This window comes from Homo sapiens, chromosome 1 (assembly GCF_000001405.40).
Source record: "Homo sapiens chromosome 1, GRCh38.p14 Primary Assembly".
NCBI lineage: Eukaryota > Metazoa > Chordata > Mammalia > Primates > Hominidae > Homo > Homo sapiens.
In genome coordinates, this window is record NC_000001.11 from 227,989,546 (window position 1) to 228,005,002 (window position 15,457).

A 15,457-nucleotide genomic window follows, 5' to 3' on the forward strand; every position below is an offset into this window, starting at 1 on the left:
ATAAAGAAACAGAAAAATTGGAACAGACCTATAACCAGTAAGGAGATCTAATTAGTAATAAAATCAAGGCCAGGTGACCTCACTGGAGAATTCTACCAAACATTTACAAAAAAGAACTGGGTGTGGTAGCTCATGCCTGTAATCCCAGCACTTTGGGGGACCAAGGCAGGAAGATCACCTGAGCCCAGGAGTTTGAGACTAGTCTGGGAAACCTAGTGAGACCCTGTCTCTACAGACAAACAAACAAAGAACAAATAATTAATTGGGCATGGTGATGCACACATATAGTTCCAACTACTTGGGAGGCTGAGGTGGGAGGATCACTTGAGCCTGGGAGGTCAAGGCTGCAGTGAGCTATGATCATGTCATTGCACTCCAGCCTGGGCAACAAAGCAAGACTCTGTGAGAAAAAAACAAAAACTAATACCAATCCCTTTCAAACTCATCCAAAAAATTGAAGAGGAGGGAGCGCTTCCTGACTCATTCATTGAGACCAGCATTACCCTGATACCAACACCAAAGTACAAGAAAACCATAGACCAATATCCCTTATGAATGTTGATGCAAAAACCCTCAAAAAATAAAAGCACAATGAATTGAGTAGCATAGTAGAAAGATTATATATCTGACCAAGTAGGATTTATTCCTAGAATGCAATAATGGGTCAACATACAAAAAACAATCAATAGAATACACCATATCAACAGAATGAAGGGGGAAAAAACATGACTATTTCAATTGATTAAAAAATGATTAGAAAAATCATTTGACAAAGTCAAACACCCTTTCATGATTTAAAAAAAAAAAAACACTCAACAACCCAGAAATAGAAGGAAACTTTCTCTAGTTAAAGGCCATATATAAAAACCCCACAGCTAGCGTCATATAATCAATGGTAAAAGACAGATAGCTTTCCCCCGAAGACCAGGAACAAGAGAAGGATGTCCACTTTTGCTATTTCTATCCAATGCAGTAGTAGAAGTTCTAGCCAAAGCAATTTGGCAAAAAAAAAAAAAAAAAAGGCCAGGCACAGTGGCTCACACCTGTAATCCCAACACTTTGGGAGGCCGAGGCGGGTGGATCACCTGAGGTCAGAAGTTCAAGACCAGCCTGGCCAACATGGTGAAACCGCATCCCTACCAAAAATACAAAAAATTAGCCGGGCGTGGTAGCAGGTGCCTGTAATCCTAGCTACTTGGAAGGCTGAGGCAGAAGAATCCCTTGAACCCAGGAGGCAGAGGTTGCAGTAAGCTGAAATTACGTCACTGCACTCCAGCCTGAGCAACAAGAGTGAAACTCCATCTCAAAAAAAAAAAAAGAAGTTAAAAACACAATGGAAAGGAAGAAGTAAAATTATCTCTGTTCACAGAGGATATGATCTTATACAGAAGAAATCCTAAATGATCCACAAAGAAACTGTTAGAGATAATAAAGAAACTCAGCCAAGTTGCAGGATACAAAATCAACTTGCAAAAATCAGTTGCATTCTATACAGTAGTAATGAACAATCCAAAAAGAAACTTAAGGAAACAATCTCAGGCTGGGGACGGTGGCTCACGCTTGTAATCCCAGCATTTTGGGAGACTGAGAAGGGCAGATCACTTGAGGTCAGGAGTTCGAGACTAGCCTGGCCAAGATGACAAAACCCCATCTCTACTAAAAAAAACAAAAATACAAAAATTAGCTGGGTGTAGTGGCTCATGCCTGTAATCCCAGCTACTTGGGAGGCTGAGGCAGGAGAATAGCTTGTCTCCAGGAGGCAGAGGTTGCAGTGAGCCGAGATCACAGCACTGCACTCCGCCATGGGCAACAGAGCAAGACTCCAACTCAAAAAAAAAAAAAAAAAAAGAGACAGAGAAAACAATTCCAAAAGCTACAGTTATCAAAACAGTATGGTACAGGCATAAAGACAAACATATAGAACAATGAAACAGAATAGAGAGCCCATAAATAAACTCTCATGTACACAGCCAAATGATCTCCAACAAGACTGTCAAATCCATACACTAGAGAAACAATGCACTCTTCGATAAATGGTGTTGGGAAAAATGGAGATGCACATGCAAAAGAATGAAGTTGGACTCTAAGTTTACACCATAAACAAAAATTAACTCAAAATGGATTAGAGACCTAAACTTAAGACCTGAATCTATAAAATTTCAGAAGAAAATGTAGAAAATTTGACATTGGATTTTGCAATGGTTTCTTGAATATGACACCAAAAACACAGGCAACAAAGGCAAAAATAGACAAATGGGACTAGATCAGACTTTAAAACTTCTGCACAGCAAAGGAGACAATCAACAGAGAAGACAACTTACAACATGAAGAATGGGAGAGAATACTTGTAACACATATATTTTGATAAAGATTAATATCAACAATATATCTAAAAACTCTTACAACTCTTCAACAACAAGCACAACCAAATAACTTGACTAAAAAATGGGCAAAGGACTTGAATAGATGATTCTCAAAAGAAGACATACAAATGGCCAATAGGCACATGGAAATATGCTCAACATCCTAATCATAGGGAAATGCACATCGAGACCAATGAGATACCATCTCACACTCCTTAGGATGGCCACTATAAAGAAAACAAAAACAGAAAACATCAAGTGTTGGCAAAGATGTGGAGAAATTGGAACCTTTATGCACTGTTGGTGGGCACGTAAAATGACACAGTTGCTATAGAAAATAGTATGGAGGTTTTCTGCAAGATTAAACATAGAATTACTGAGCCAGGCAGGGTGGCTCACGCCTGTAATCCCAGCACTTTGGGAGGCCGAGGCGGGTGGATCACGAGGTCAGGAGATCGGGACCATCCTGGCTAACACGGTGAAACCCTGTCTCTACTAAAAATACAAAAAATTAGCCGGGCGTGGTGGCGGGCGCCTGTAGTCCCAGCTACTCAGGAGCCTTAGGCAGGAGAATGGCGTGAACCTGGGAGGTGCAGTTTGCAGTGAGCCGAGATTGCGCCATTGCACTCCAGCCTGGGCGACGCAGAGAGACTCCGTCTCAAAACAACAACAAGAAAAAAATACAAAATTAGCTGGGCATGGTGGCGCATTCCTGTAATCCCAGTTACTTGGGAGACTGAGGCAGGAGAATCACTTGGACCTGGGAAGCGGAGGTTGCAGTGAGCCAAAATCATGCTGTTGAGCTCCAGCCTGGACAACAAGAATGAAATGCTATCTCAAAAAATAAACATAAATAAATACATAAATAAATAAAAATAGAATTACCATATTATCCCTCAATCCCACTCTGGGTATAGATCCAGAGAACTGAAAACAGGATTTTGAAGAGATATTTGCACATCCATGTCCATTGCAGCATTAATTACGGTAGCCAAGGGGTGGAAGCAACCTAAATATCAGTTGACATAGGAATGGATACACACATACACACGCACATGATATATAGTATATATACAAATGTGATATGTGATATATACAAATGTGATATATATACACAAATGTGACATATACATATATACAAATGTTGGCTGGGCACAGTGGCTCACGCCTGTAATCCCAACATTTTGGGATGCTGAGTCAGGTGGATCACCTGAGGTCAGGAGTTTGAAACCAGCCTGGCCAACATAGTGAAACCCCCTCTCTACTAAAAATACAAAAGTTAGCTGGGCGTGGTGGCATGTGCCTGTAATCCCAGCTACTTGGGAGGCTGAGGCAGGAGAATCAGGAGAATTGCTTGAACCTGGGACGCAGAGGTTGCAGTGAGCCGAGGTTGCACCGCTGCACTCCAGCCTGGGCGACGGAGTGAGACTCTGTCTCAAAAAAGAAAAAAAAAGTTATATATACGCATATATAAAAATGTGATGTGTGTATATATATATATGTATATATAAATGTAATATATATTATGTATATATATGAATGAGATATATACAGTTGGCCCCTCAACAACATGGATCTGAACTGCATGAGTCACTTACACTCAGATTTTCTTCTGCCTCTGCCACCCCTGAGACACCAAGACCAAGCCCTCTCTTCCTCCTCCTCCTTACTATATTGTAAGAATACAGTATATAATACATATACAAAATATGTGTTAACTGACTGTTTGTGTTATTGGCAAGGCTTCTGTAGTTAAATTTGGGGGAGTCAGAAGTTATACATGGATTTTCAACCATGCAAGGGTTGGCATGCCCTCGGTTAGTATGGTCACTATGAAGAAAACAAAAATAGAAAACAGCAAGTGTTGACTGCAGAATGAAAAGGCACCCTACAAAATGGAAGAAAATACTTGCAAATTATATATCTGCTATGGGATTAATATCCAGAATATATAAATAACTCCTACAACTCAACAACAAAAAACCAATTTAAAAATCAGCAAAGGACTTGAACAGACATTTTTCCAAAGAAGATACATAAATGGCCAATAAGCCACACTGGAGGAGGTTGAAGAGACATGACGGCTAAATGCAATGCATGATTCTGACCAAGACACTCTTTCTTTTTTTTTTTTTTTTTTTCTGAGGTGGAGTCTCGCTCTGTCGCCCGGGCTGGAGTGCAGTGGCGCCATCTCGGCTCACTGCAAGCTCCACCTCCCGGGTTCACGCCATTCTCCTGCCTCAGCCTCCCAAGTAGCTGGGACTATAGGTGCCCGCCACTACGCCCGGCTAATTTTTGTATTTTTAGTAGAGACGGGGTTTTGCCGTGTTAGCCAGGATGGTCTCGATCTCCTGACCTCGTGATCCACCCGCCTCGGCCTCCCAAAGTGCTGGGATTACAGGCGTGAGCCACCACGCCCGGCCCAAGACACTCTTTCTAAACAAGGCTTTTTGGGACAACTGGTCACCCTTGAACTGCTGTGACAATTAGACAGCAGTAATAGGTCAAGGTAGTGTCTTGATTTCAATGGTTGTTATTGTAAGTATCAAAGTTCCCAAGACCCTGCCTTGTGGGAACCCACCCATCCCTCAGTAGGAACCTAACCTCCCACCCAGGCCCTGAGCATTCACTCATTCCTTGGTCCTTTGACTCAGAGACCAGGCTGCTCAAAGATTAGACAGTCAGGTGGAGGGGTGGGGACAGTTGTTCTCATGCCATTGGTGAGGTTTCTTTCTGAATGTCAGTTTAATGATATGTAGTAAAATCTTCAATGTGCATGACACCTTGGGGCCAACTGTCCCACTTTTGAGGAATTTGTCCTAAGAAGGCCTTCAGGGAAGGAAGAACACAGCTGCCTGTTAGCAGCCCCAGGACTCATTTGACAAGCCCTCCCTGAGGAATGAGATTCTCCCCGCCCTGTAGTGTCTCTCCCCCGGAGGCATTCTCCACCATCTCTGTCTACAGGCTTGTAAAAGCAGAGTCACCCCGGAGGGGAGGAGGCAGATGGGGAGATGGACCAGATAGGACAAAAATGTCCAGAGCGTATCCTTGCATGTGAACACAAGATGGGATTCTCCTTGTGTTTGTCTTCTCTGGAAAGGGCCAAAATGGGTACCTAGAGAAGAGGGAAAGCCCTGCAAGAAAGGGAGGGAGCAGAGACAAAAAGCAAGATAGAATCAGAGAACATGCAGAGAGGTGGGGGGGACAGGCCAGCCGGCCAGGATGGAGGGTCTGGAGGCACAGGGGGCTCCAGTCCAGGCCCCATCACTATGTGCTATGTTTGGATGCAAGTCCGTAGTCTCTCTGGACTGGTTTGCCCACCAGTGAGATGTGAGGCTGGGCGTTTGGGCTGGAATTCTGGGATTTTCTATTCCATGGCACTGCCTAGGACAGAGTAAGACCCTGGAGGCTGGAAGTGTGGAATTAGTGTCTATTTTTCCAATGTCACAATGGCTCCCCTTGAGTTTATGATGGTCTGAAAACTGTGCTATTTTCTGAGTCAAGATCTGACAGAACTGGGCTAGAAGAGGGGGCTCTTTGGAGACCAAAGCCCAGCTAAGCATCTGCCGTACTGCAGTGAAGGGTAACTGCTAACTCTGCTGCAAAACCCTGAATCTTGGTCCATTTGCTGTTGCTTATGACAGCATGCCTGAAACTGGGTAATTTATTAAAAAAACAAAATTTATTTCTTATAGTTTTGGAGGATGGGAAGTCCAAGACCAAGGGGGTGCATCTGGTGAGGGCCTTCTTGCTGGTGGGAACTCTCTGCAGGGTGCTAAGGAAGTAGTGGACATCCCATGGGGAGGGTGCTGAGCATGCTAGCTCAGGTCTCTCTTCCTCTTCTTATAAAGCCATCAGTCCCACTTCCATGATGACCCATTAATCCACTGATCCATGAATTGATTAATCCATTCACAAGGGCAAGACCCTCTGACTCAATCACCTCTCAAAGGCTCCACCTCTCAATACTGCCACATCAGGGATTACATTTCAATATGAGTTTTGGAGGAGACAAATGTTCAAATCATAGCACCCAGCTTGAACTAGGAAAACGTAAGCCCACCTTGGACAGGTGATAGACAGGTGAGCTCTCCACTGTGGTTTTCCAGGCTGACCAGAGCCAGCTGAGCTCACACATGTCCTGACTGCAGAGAGGGCAGAGCTCATTTCCCAAAGGAAGAGCAGAGACTTCTCATCCCAGGCTCTCTACCAGCTGCACTAGAGATTGAGCCATCCATGGCAGTAGCCACCAGCCATGCGTGGCTACCTACATTTAAGTTGAAATTCATTAAACTTAAAATTCAATACTAAGTTCCTCAGTTGCATTAGCCACACTGTCTAGAGAGAGTTTACACTGCAGCAGGGAGGAGGACTGAGTCCAGGGAGTTCAAGTTGGCTGGGGTTCACAAGGCAGAGTGCCAGAGAGGAGTGACTGCATGGAGAGAGCTCCCAAGACTTTCAGAAGGGTTCCTCAGTGTATCTACCTGAGTGCTGGCCAGTGCACACATGTGATGAAACTACTTCCTCAAAGAATTAGAGAAGCAATCTTCAGAGCTCACACAGTGCCAGCAACAGTTTGTCTTCCCAACAGCCAGAGTGGAAAAATCTAGTGATTCATAGGACATCAGGTGGAATGATCAGAAGGGTATTGCCTCAGTACTGGGGAAAAATTAGCCCTAGACTAAATGCTGCTTAGGTTCTGCCTAACAAAGCTTAAAAGCAAGCCTCAGAAGAATTAAACTGTTTTCAAGTAATTTTACTGCATTCCAGAATAAAGCTGAAAAATATTTATAAGAATACAAAAGTATTCAGAACCAAGTAAGGTAAAATTCACAATGTCTGGCATCTAATCAAAAATTACTAGGCATGTGAGTAAGAAGAAAAATGTGACTCATGAACGAGGAGGAAAATCAATCAAGCAATAGAAACAAACATGATGATACAGATGATAAAATTAATAGACAAGCACATCAAAAAATTGCCTCTAGTGCTTCCACATGTTCAAGAAGGCAGAGGAAAGATGGAGCATGTTATGTGTGGAGAAGGAGTAGATATTTAAAAGCACCAAATCAAACTTCCAAAGATGAAAACTATGATATCTGAGCAGACACATGCACTGAATGGCATTGATGGCAGTTTAACACTGCAGAAGAAAAAATTAGTGAACTTGAAGACATAGCATAGAAAAAAGGACTGCAAATATGAAAAGAGAATCAGTGAGCTATGGGAAAACTTCAAGCAGCCCAACATAGATGTAAGTGGAGTCCCTGAAGGCAGGACAGAGTTATCACAAGGAAGTGCCTTATGCATTTGTAGAGGCTGAACATGTCCAAAATTCATAGGCCAGGAACTCAGGAAGACCATAGACAGGCTCAACCCATGGGCTTTCTGTCTCTATCCAGACAACCCAGGAAAAAGAGAGAGGACAATGACTAATCTCAATAATTAGAAAGGTGACATCTCTACAGATTCTATAGATATTAAAAAATAAACAGGAATAAACATCTACATGTGTATAAATTCAACTTCTGTAAAATGAACAAATTCCTTGAAAGACATCAACTACCAAAGCTCGCACAAGAAATAAATAAACAAAATGGTTCTATAGCTATTTAAAGAACTGAATTGTGGTTACAAGCCTTCCTACAAAGAAACTTAAAGGCCAGATGGCTTCATTGGTGAATTCTACCAAACATTTAAGCAAGACATAATAACAATTTCCACAAACTCTTCCAGAAAATTAAAGAGTTGGAAATACTCATGAGTATCTCATGAGGCCAGAATTACCCTAATGCCCAAATCAGACAAAGACATTATAAGGAAAAAAAATTCTAGATCAGTACTTCTCAGGAACATAGATGCAAAAGTTCTTAACCAAGTTTTAGCATATCCAATCCAACAATATATAAAGAGGATGATACACCATGAGCAAGTGGGATTTATCCCAGGAATGCAAGGTTAGTTTAATATTTGAATATAAATTAATGCAATTCACTATATTAATTGGCTAAATAAAAACATATAATTGTCTCAATAGATGCAGAAAAATCATTTAATAAATTCCAATATTTATATAAAAACTCTCAGCAGATTAGAACTAGCTGTGAACTGCCTAAACCTGATAAGTGGCATCTATGAAAAACTTCAGCTCACATCACACTTTAATAAAACACTGTGTGTTTCCTCCCTAAACATCAAGAACAACACAAGCACATCCACTCTCACCACTTTTATTTGACACTGTCCTGGAGTTTCTAGCTAGTGCAATAAGACAAGAAAAAGAAATGAAAGGCATCTAGAATTTAAAGGAAGAGGTAACCTGTCTTTATTCACAGGTAACACAATTGTTTATATGGAAAACGCCAACAAATCTACAAAAAAGAATAAGTCTGCTGGAACTAATAAGTGAACTTAGGACAGTTGCAGGAAACAACATCAATGTACTAAAAGTCAGCACTTGCAACAAAACATGGAAATGGAAAGAAATAATACCACTTTAAATAGCTGATAGCTTCTGGACTAAGAGGAAGCTGCAGGTAGAGGGGGCAGGTGGAAGATTTAGGAGAGTATGGAGGTGGTTGCTGAGCCTGATATGAGAAGAACCTGGACAGAACAGGAACAAATGCTTTGCCGAAGCTTCTGGACCCACTGGGCTGGAGGACAACCAGCAAGGAACAGCAAGGAAGGAACCAGCAAGGAAGCTTCTGGACCCGTTGGGTTGGAGGACAACCTCAGCAACCCTCTGAGGAGGGAGAGACAGAAACTCTCTGCAGAGACTGCAGGTTGTGACACAGAAGCTGATGGCCTCGATTTCCCTCCATGAAATGGGACAGTAGGGTGCCGTTGACAGTCAGAAAGGGTGTGCAGGAGGTGGATGCTAGGGAGGAAGCCCACAAAGGGGCTGATGGACTGGCCTTGTAAGAAACAAAACATCATGTCTCCTTGGAGCCATGTCTCCTGTGCCTCGCCAGGGACAGTGGGCCCCAGCTTCTTCGACCAGGGAAGATGGCAGTCAATGGATACCCCAATGGCTTTTTCTCTTCACCTGTTCCCCCCACTCTCCTGTTCCCTAGAACCATGTTCCCACATAAACCACCTGCACTCACTACTTGTATCATGTTCTAAAAATCCCACCATGTCCCTGGAGCTCAGGATCTTCAAGGCCAAGGGGAGGCCCTAAAGGTGAAGTTGGGGGTGAACCAGAGTGAAGGAGAGCATCTCCAGTGATGAGGGAGTCCAAGACCCATGATCCTGGGTGATGGGGGTGGACAGGAGGAGCGTGACTGTCAAGCTGCCCAGGCCCAGGCCCATGTGTGAACAGCAGCCCTGTGAATCTTGCTCTTGGCCTCTGAGCCTTGGCTCTGGCTTATGCTCCAAAGATGGTGACACTGCATCTCCTGTGGTCTCAGGGATCAGCTGGGTCATGCAGGTTTCAGCAGGGGTTGTGGTCACCACTATTCCCATGAGAGAGGTCATACCCACAATGTAAAATCCCACTTGGGCTGCAGGACAGCCAAGGGCTAGGGAGGAGGCGCCGCTCATGTCACCCACAACCTTGCCCAGAAGGGGCACTGCCTCTAGGGGAAGATTGGACCCAGGCACCCCTTCAGTGCCGCCCTCCTCTGGCATCTCCACTTGGTGGCAGTATTGGCCCAGAAGCGGAACTCCAGCAAGCAGCCACCAACCGGTCCCTAAGAGCTGCTGTGGCAGCAAAACTTAGCTCTTTCCCAACAGGAAAGTCTGGGGAGTCTATTGCCCTCATTTCACAGGGAAGTAAGTTATGGCCTGGGAACCAGGATTCTGGATAATTAATCTGCAGGATTCCAGAACTCCATGATACTGTGATTTTTTTTTTTTTTTTTTTGAGTAGTGGTCTCTCTCTGTCACCCAAGCTGGAGTGCAGTGGCACAGTCATGGCTCACTGCAGCCTCGAACTTGTGGCCTCAACCAGTCCTCTCACCTCAGCCTCCTGAATAGCTGGGACTACAGGTGCATACCACCATACTCAGCTAATTTTTTATAGAGACGGAGTCTCACTATGTTGCCCAGGCTGGTCTCAAACTCCTGGGTTCAAGAGATCTGCTGGCCCCAGCCTCCCAAAGCACTAGAATTACAGGCATGAACTACCTGTCTGGCCCATTGTGATTTTTTTTTAATTCTCAAATTTGATTTTCTTATGGTTCTAAGACTCTCCATCTATGGGTCCATGCTTGAAGAACCATAAGATTCTAAGATCAGAGGGTTCTACTGACTCAGTTCCCCTGCATCCTATAATTCTGTGTTTGGATGATTCCAGCATTTCATGGCCATTTCATGGGATCAACCAGGATTAACCACATGGCTAAAGGGAGAGGCTGATGGCCCTACTTCCATGGTTCCCAGATTCCATCTTCTCTTCCTCATAGGGAGGTCCACAATTCCCCACATATCACCAGGCCACCTGCAAGGAGAGCAGGTCCAAGAAGTCACCTTGCAATGAGAATGAGATCGTGTGCCTCCTACATCATGCCCTAAGGGAGAGAGGACAGCATGGAGCTAGGAGGTGGATGGCTGGGGTGTCAACTGAGAAAGACATGCCTGTTGGACCCCAGAGTTGACTTTTATGGCATCCAAGAGCTGCCTGTGAGAACACACATGGTTTGATTTGTGAAGGGATGTTCACACAACCATCATGCGTCAGCCTTCTCAAAGGTGGCGTTCGTAGCACAGCATGCGAAGGGCTTTGAGTCAACAGACATTCCTGGAAAGAAAGCAGTGTGGGGGTATGGAAGGATCCCTGGAGGCTGGGACCTGGAGACCAGGGTCTTTCCTGCGGGCCCATTGCTCCTTCCACTTTGCCTTGAGCCCACTCTTTCCATACAAGGAGAGGCTGACCTAAGGTTCCAGTTGCTTTCATCAGGTGGGATCTGGTGAAGGGTCAAAATGGAACTCTAAGATGGGTAGTTGAAGGGGTGACACCCGAGGAGAGAGTGATGTCTCAAAACAGACTGAATTATTTCCCAAAGAGGTGCCCCAAGCCCCTGCAAATGCACTCTCTAGGAAGTCTGGCCACTGGGCCCCTTGCCCTCGTCCCACAGGGCAGCTCAGAAAGGCAAGCTCATGAGGACCGGCTCGTGTCCACCTACCCCCCTCATTGCCTACAAGGACTCCCGAGCATGCCCCCCATCCTGGCGCAATCTTCTGCCCTGGAGCCAGGAAAGGATGGCCTTCTGAGTTGGAGTCCTGCAGTCGGTCTTCCAGTCTTGGAGGGAAACATATACTCTACAAATGGTGAGCCTCGGAGAGAGCCCAGCCCTGCTGTGCTGCCTCCAGGAGGTTCAGGCGGCTATGCCTCCTCATTCAGCCTCACTGAGCCTTTTCCACTTCCAGAACATGGTGAAATTCACTTCCCTCTGACCACACAGTGCTTGGTGGATCACCGGGCACACAGTGGGCCTACAGTGGGCATGGTAGTCGCTGTCATCACTCCGCTCCAGGAGCCTTCAAGAAATCATCTCATCTGACAACCCACATTTACCATAAGGACCTTTTGGAGGCCAGGCGCAGGGGCTCACCCCTGTAACCCCACAGTTTGGGAGGCCAAGGCAAGAGGATTGCTTGAGCCCAGGAGTTAGAAACTACAGTGAACTATGATGGCACCACTGCACTCCAGCCTGGGCGACGGAGTGAGACCCTGTCTCAAACAAATAAAAAAGAACCTTCCGGAGAACTGAAGGAAAGTGGAAATTTGATAAGAGATCTGGGCTGGAGAGGAGAAAAGTCTTTTAAAATATAAATATAACGGCAAGCTCAGAAAGATAGATACAGGGCAATGGTAAGAAGCAGACAGGTAACCAGATTGGGCTAGTGGGAGATGCTCATTGAGACAAGCAGTGCAGTGGTGTGCCACTGTGAGGGGGAAACGGGGATGGTGCCCCCGCCATCCTGCTTTGTGACTGGCGTGCACGGCAAGGGGGCAGAGCAACAACTTCTGTGGGCTGGACCTGCCCTGGGCAGGGGCCACGGGGAGGCCACAGACTCCGGTCTGAATAAATACACAGCAGGAACCCAGAGCTGTGGATATGTAGACCCCACACACAGCCTCCCACAGAGGGCAGGTAACCCACAGGAAGACAGACAGCCCTGAGCTCACAGCCATACCTGCAAAGCCCTGCCAGGACATACCCACATCAGTAATGTCCACGGGGGCTCTCATGGTGATATTAACGCGGAGGAGGTAATTCCCACAGTGCCTGAGCTGAACAATGCCAACAAAGGTGGAGACGGGGCGGAGGGACAGACAAGGAATGTAGAGAGGGGCTGCAGACAGGAAGAGCAACTCACAACTGTGCAGGAGGGCTCATCGGCTGTGACAGGAAAACACACAGAGACTGATAGAAAGACAGGACAGCCATAGACAGGAGGTGGGAGGCAGACAGGTCTGTGGCCCAGAGACCCTGTCTCACCACAGCAGCTTTGGGGAAGCAGGTGGCCACGTCATTTTCCTTGTCTCTGTTTGGCTGACCTGTGCATCTCAGGCCCAGCCCTGGCTGCTGTTTTTCCAGCTGCAGTTCCCAAACTGTGTGCTAAGGCACCCTGGGACGCCACAGCAAATTCCCAGGGTGTTGCAGAATATCACGCCTGTAATCCTAGCTCTTTGGGAGGCCAAAGTGGGAGGATCACTTGAGCCCAGGAGTTCAAGACCTGCCTGGGCAACATGGTAAGGCCCTCGTCCCTGCAAAAAAAATTTGTTTTAAAGAAAGTACAATTGAGTCTTGGACAACATGGGGGTTAGGGGCACCAACCCCCTGCAAAGTCAAAAACTTGAGTATAACTTTTGACTCCCTGAAAACGAAACTACTAACAGCCTCCTGTTGACCAGAAGCCTTGCTGATCCCACACACAGTCAGTCAGAACATACGCTGCATGCCACATGTGTTATCCCCTGTGTTCCTACAATAAACTCAGCTGGAGAAAGGAAATTCCTGCTCAGAAAACCTAGAAAAGAAGCCAGACTCACAGTTCATGAGGCGGCAGTGGGTCCTCATAAAGGTCTTCATCCTAGTGGCCTTCATATTGAGTGGCTGAGGAGGAAGACAGAAGCGGGGCTTGGTCTTGCTGTGTCAGGGTGGCAGAGGCAGGAGAAATCCATGTATAAGTGACCCACACAGTGCAAACCTGTGTTGTTTGAGGGTCACCTGTCCTGCATGAACATCTCCTTGTATGGCCTGAGAGCCAGGACCTTGAACAAGAAGTGAGAGTGTTGCTTCTGGAGGGCCAGTAACTGCAGTTATGTGAGGATGAAATAAAAATATGATTCATTTATTTTTAACTGATATGATTTTTTTTCAAATAGCTACTGATCATTAAGTGGTTGGACCTAATTACTTAATAAACAAAGCTCTTAGGTATTTATTTTAGCCTGAGGAGCTGGGCAAAGAATGACTATAAGTTGTTTTCTTGATTAATTTAATTTAATTTTATTTTATTTTATTTAGAGTCAGGGTCTCACTCTGTCACCCAGGTTAGAGTGCAGTGATGCAATCATAGCTCACTGCAGCCTTGAACTCCTCAGCCCAGATGATCCTCCCATCTTGGCCTCCCAAAGTGCCGGGATTACAGGTGTGCACCATCACACCTGGCCAATTGAAAGTTTTGATCTCAAGAACCCACTGCTTATGGAGAAGGCATCCAAAGAGTGACCCCCACAAGGAAGGTCAGGGAAGCTTCCAGAAGGGACCAAGTTCCAATGGAACTGACTGTGGAGGGGCACTCCGTCTTCTGACCCTGGACCCCTACCCTGTCCTGCTGCTGTTCCTTCCAGGGTCCCTCAGCCAGAAAGCCCCCAGAGCCTTGAACTCTGTCTGCCCAAACCCCTTCTCTGTTTTCCCCCAACTTATTTTTGCTCAAATGAGAAAAAAAGGAAGCAAAAGATGACCAGTTAGTGTCTGAAATCCTGGCTTGCCCCACCCATAACAGGGACTCACACCCGCTGTAGACAGGGAACCCACTACCTCACACAGCAAACTGTCCATCAGAGATGCCCCTCCCACCTGGCTTACCCCACCCAAGCAGGTATCTTACAGAGCTTCCGGGGTGGGCAGCGCCTCCTCTCGCCTGGGGGCCTATTCTGGAAGGAGGGAGCACGCTCCCTGGGCCCTCCAGCAGGCCAGAAATGATGTTCCCTCCAGCACCATCCATACATGGGGAGTTTTGTTTTATCAAACACATGGCTGGCTGCTCAGGGCTTAGCTCCAGAGCTGCCCGGTTGTCAGGCCTTCTCACACGTGCCCTCTCTGAGGACGATTAGCCCTTTCCTGACGCTGGCTTGCAAAGGTCTCACCCACCTCCCCGTTCCAAGTGTTGGAATGTGGGTCTGTGTCCTGGCCAACAAGGAGGTCTGTGGAGACAGGACCGGGTCTCAGTCACCGTTCAGCAGCCACCCGGCATGCCCCCAGGAGCCTGCCCTATGCCTTGACCTCAACCTACGCCATCCCAGTCCCCAGCGCAATGCACAGGTGGGGACATAGACCTTGACAGACTGGTCAGGGACAGCTCCCTTTAGGCAACAGCAGAGGGCGCTTCCAGGGAGGCCCCTCACCTTCCTCTGCACCCCAAGCAAGGGACAAGAGGTGCTGTAGGCAACATCACCCGAGCCTGGAAGACACTCAGGAGAAGCCCCTCAGGCCCCTGACACCCAGCTGGGGTCCCACCCTTGCTCTCCCACTCTGCTCTCCACCCCACCCCAGCCCAGCCCCACTGACTTGGCTGCTCAGGAGCCGAGGCTCTCGGAGGCTCACAGAGGGAAGGAGGAGCCCCACGTGGTACAGGCAGGTACCGAGGAGCTAGTTCCAGAAGCCTCCGCTCGTTCCTCCATGCAGCCTACCCTGGCTCCCTGGTATCCAGAGTCTTCAGAAACAGGAGCCCTCGCTTGAGAGCCTGGCCTGGGCAGGCTGAGCTCCTGCCTGGGGCCTCGGAGTCTGCTCCTCCCTTCATCTTCTGCAGCCTGGGAAGCGGCCGGATCTCAGTGTGTGTACTACCCAGGTGGCACGGGCAGAGGATGGGGCCTGATGGGGGAGAAGAAAGCAGCCAGGAGGAGGGGCTTGGGAAACCAA

The 15,457-nt window shown here is 46.7% G+C and overlaps 3 annotated features.

Annotated features, from left to right (window-relative positions):
- Window positions 9,955-10,014: a silencer, noted in NCBI's record as "silent region_1905". NCBI's record gives its function as "represses an Ori minimal core promoter by ATAC-STARR-seq in GM12878 lymphoblastoid cells {active_cell/tissue: GM12878}" and the evidence as "EXISTENCE:reporter gene assay evidence [ECO:0000049][PMID:35858748]".
- Window positions 10,055-10,104: a silencer, noted in NCBI's record as "silent region_1906". NCBI's record gives its function as "represses an Ori minimal core promoter by ATAC-STARR-seq in GM12878 lymphoblastoid cells {active_cell/tissue: GM12878}" and the evidence as "EXISTENCE:reporter gene assay evidence [ECO:0000049][PMID:35858748]".
- Window positions 14,967-15,016: an enhancer, noted in NCBI's record as "active region_2687". NCBI's record gives its function as "activates an Ori minimal core promoter by ATAC-STARR-seq in GM12878 lymphoblastoid cells {active_cell/tissue: GM12878}" and the evidence as "EXISTENCE:reporter gene assay evidence [ECO:0000049][PMID:35858748]".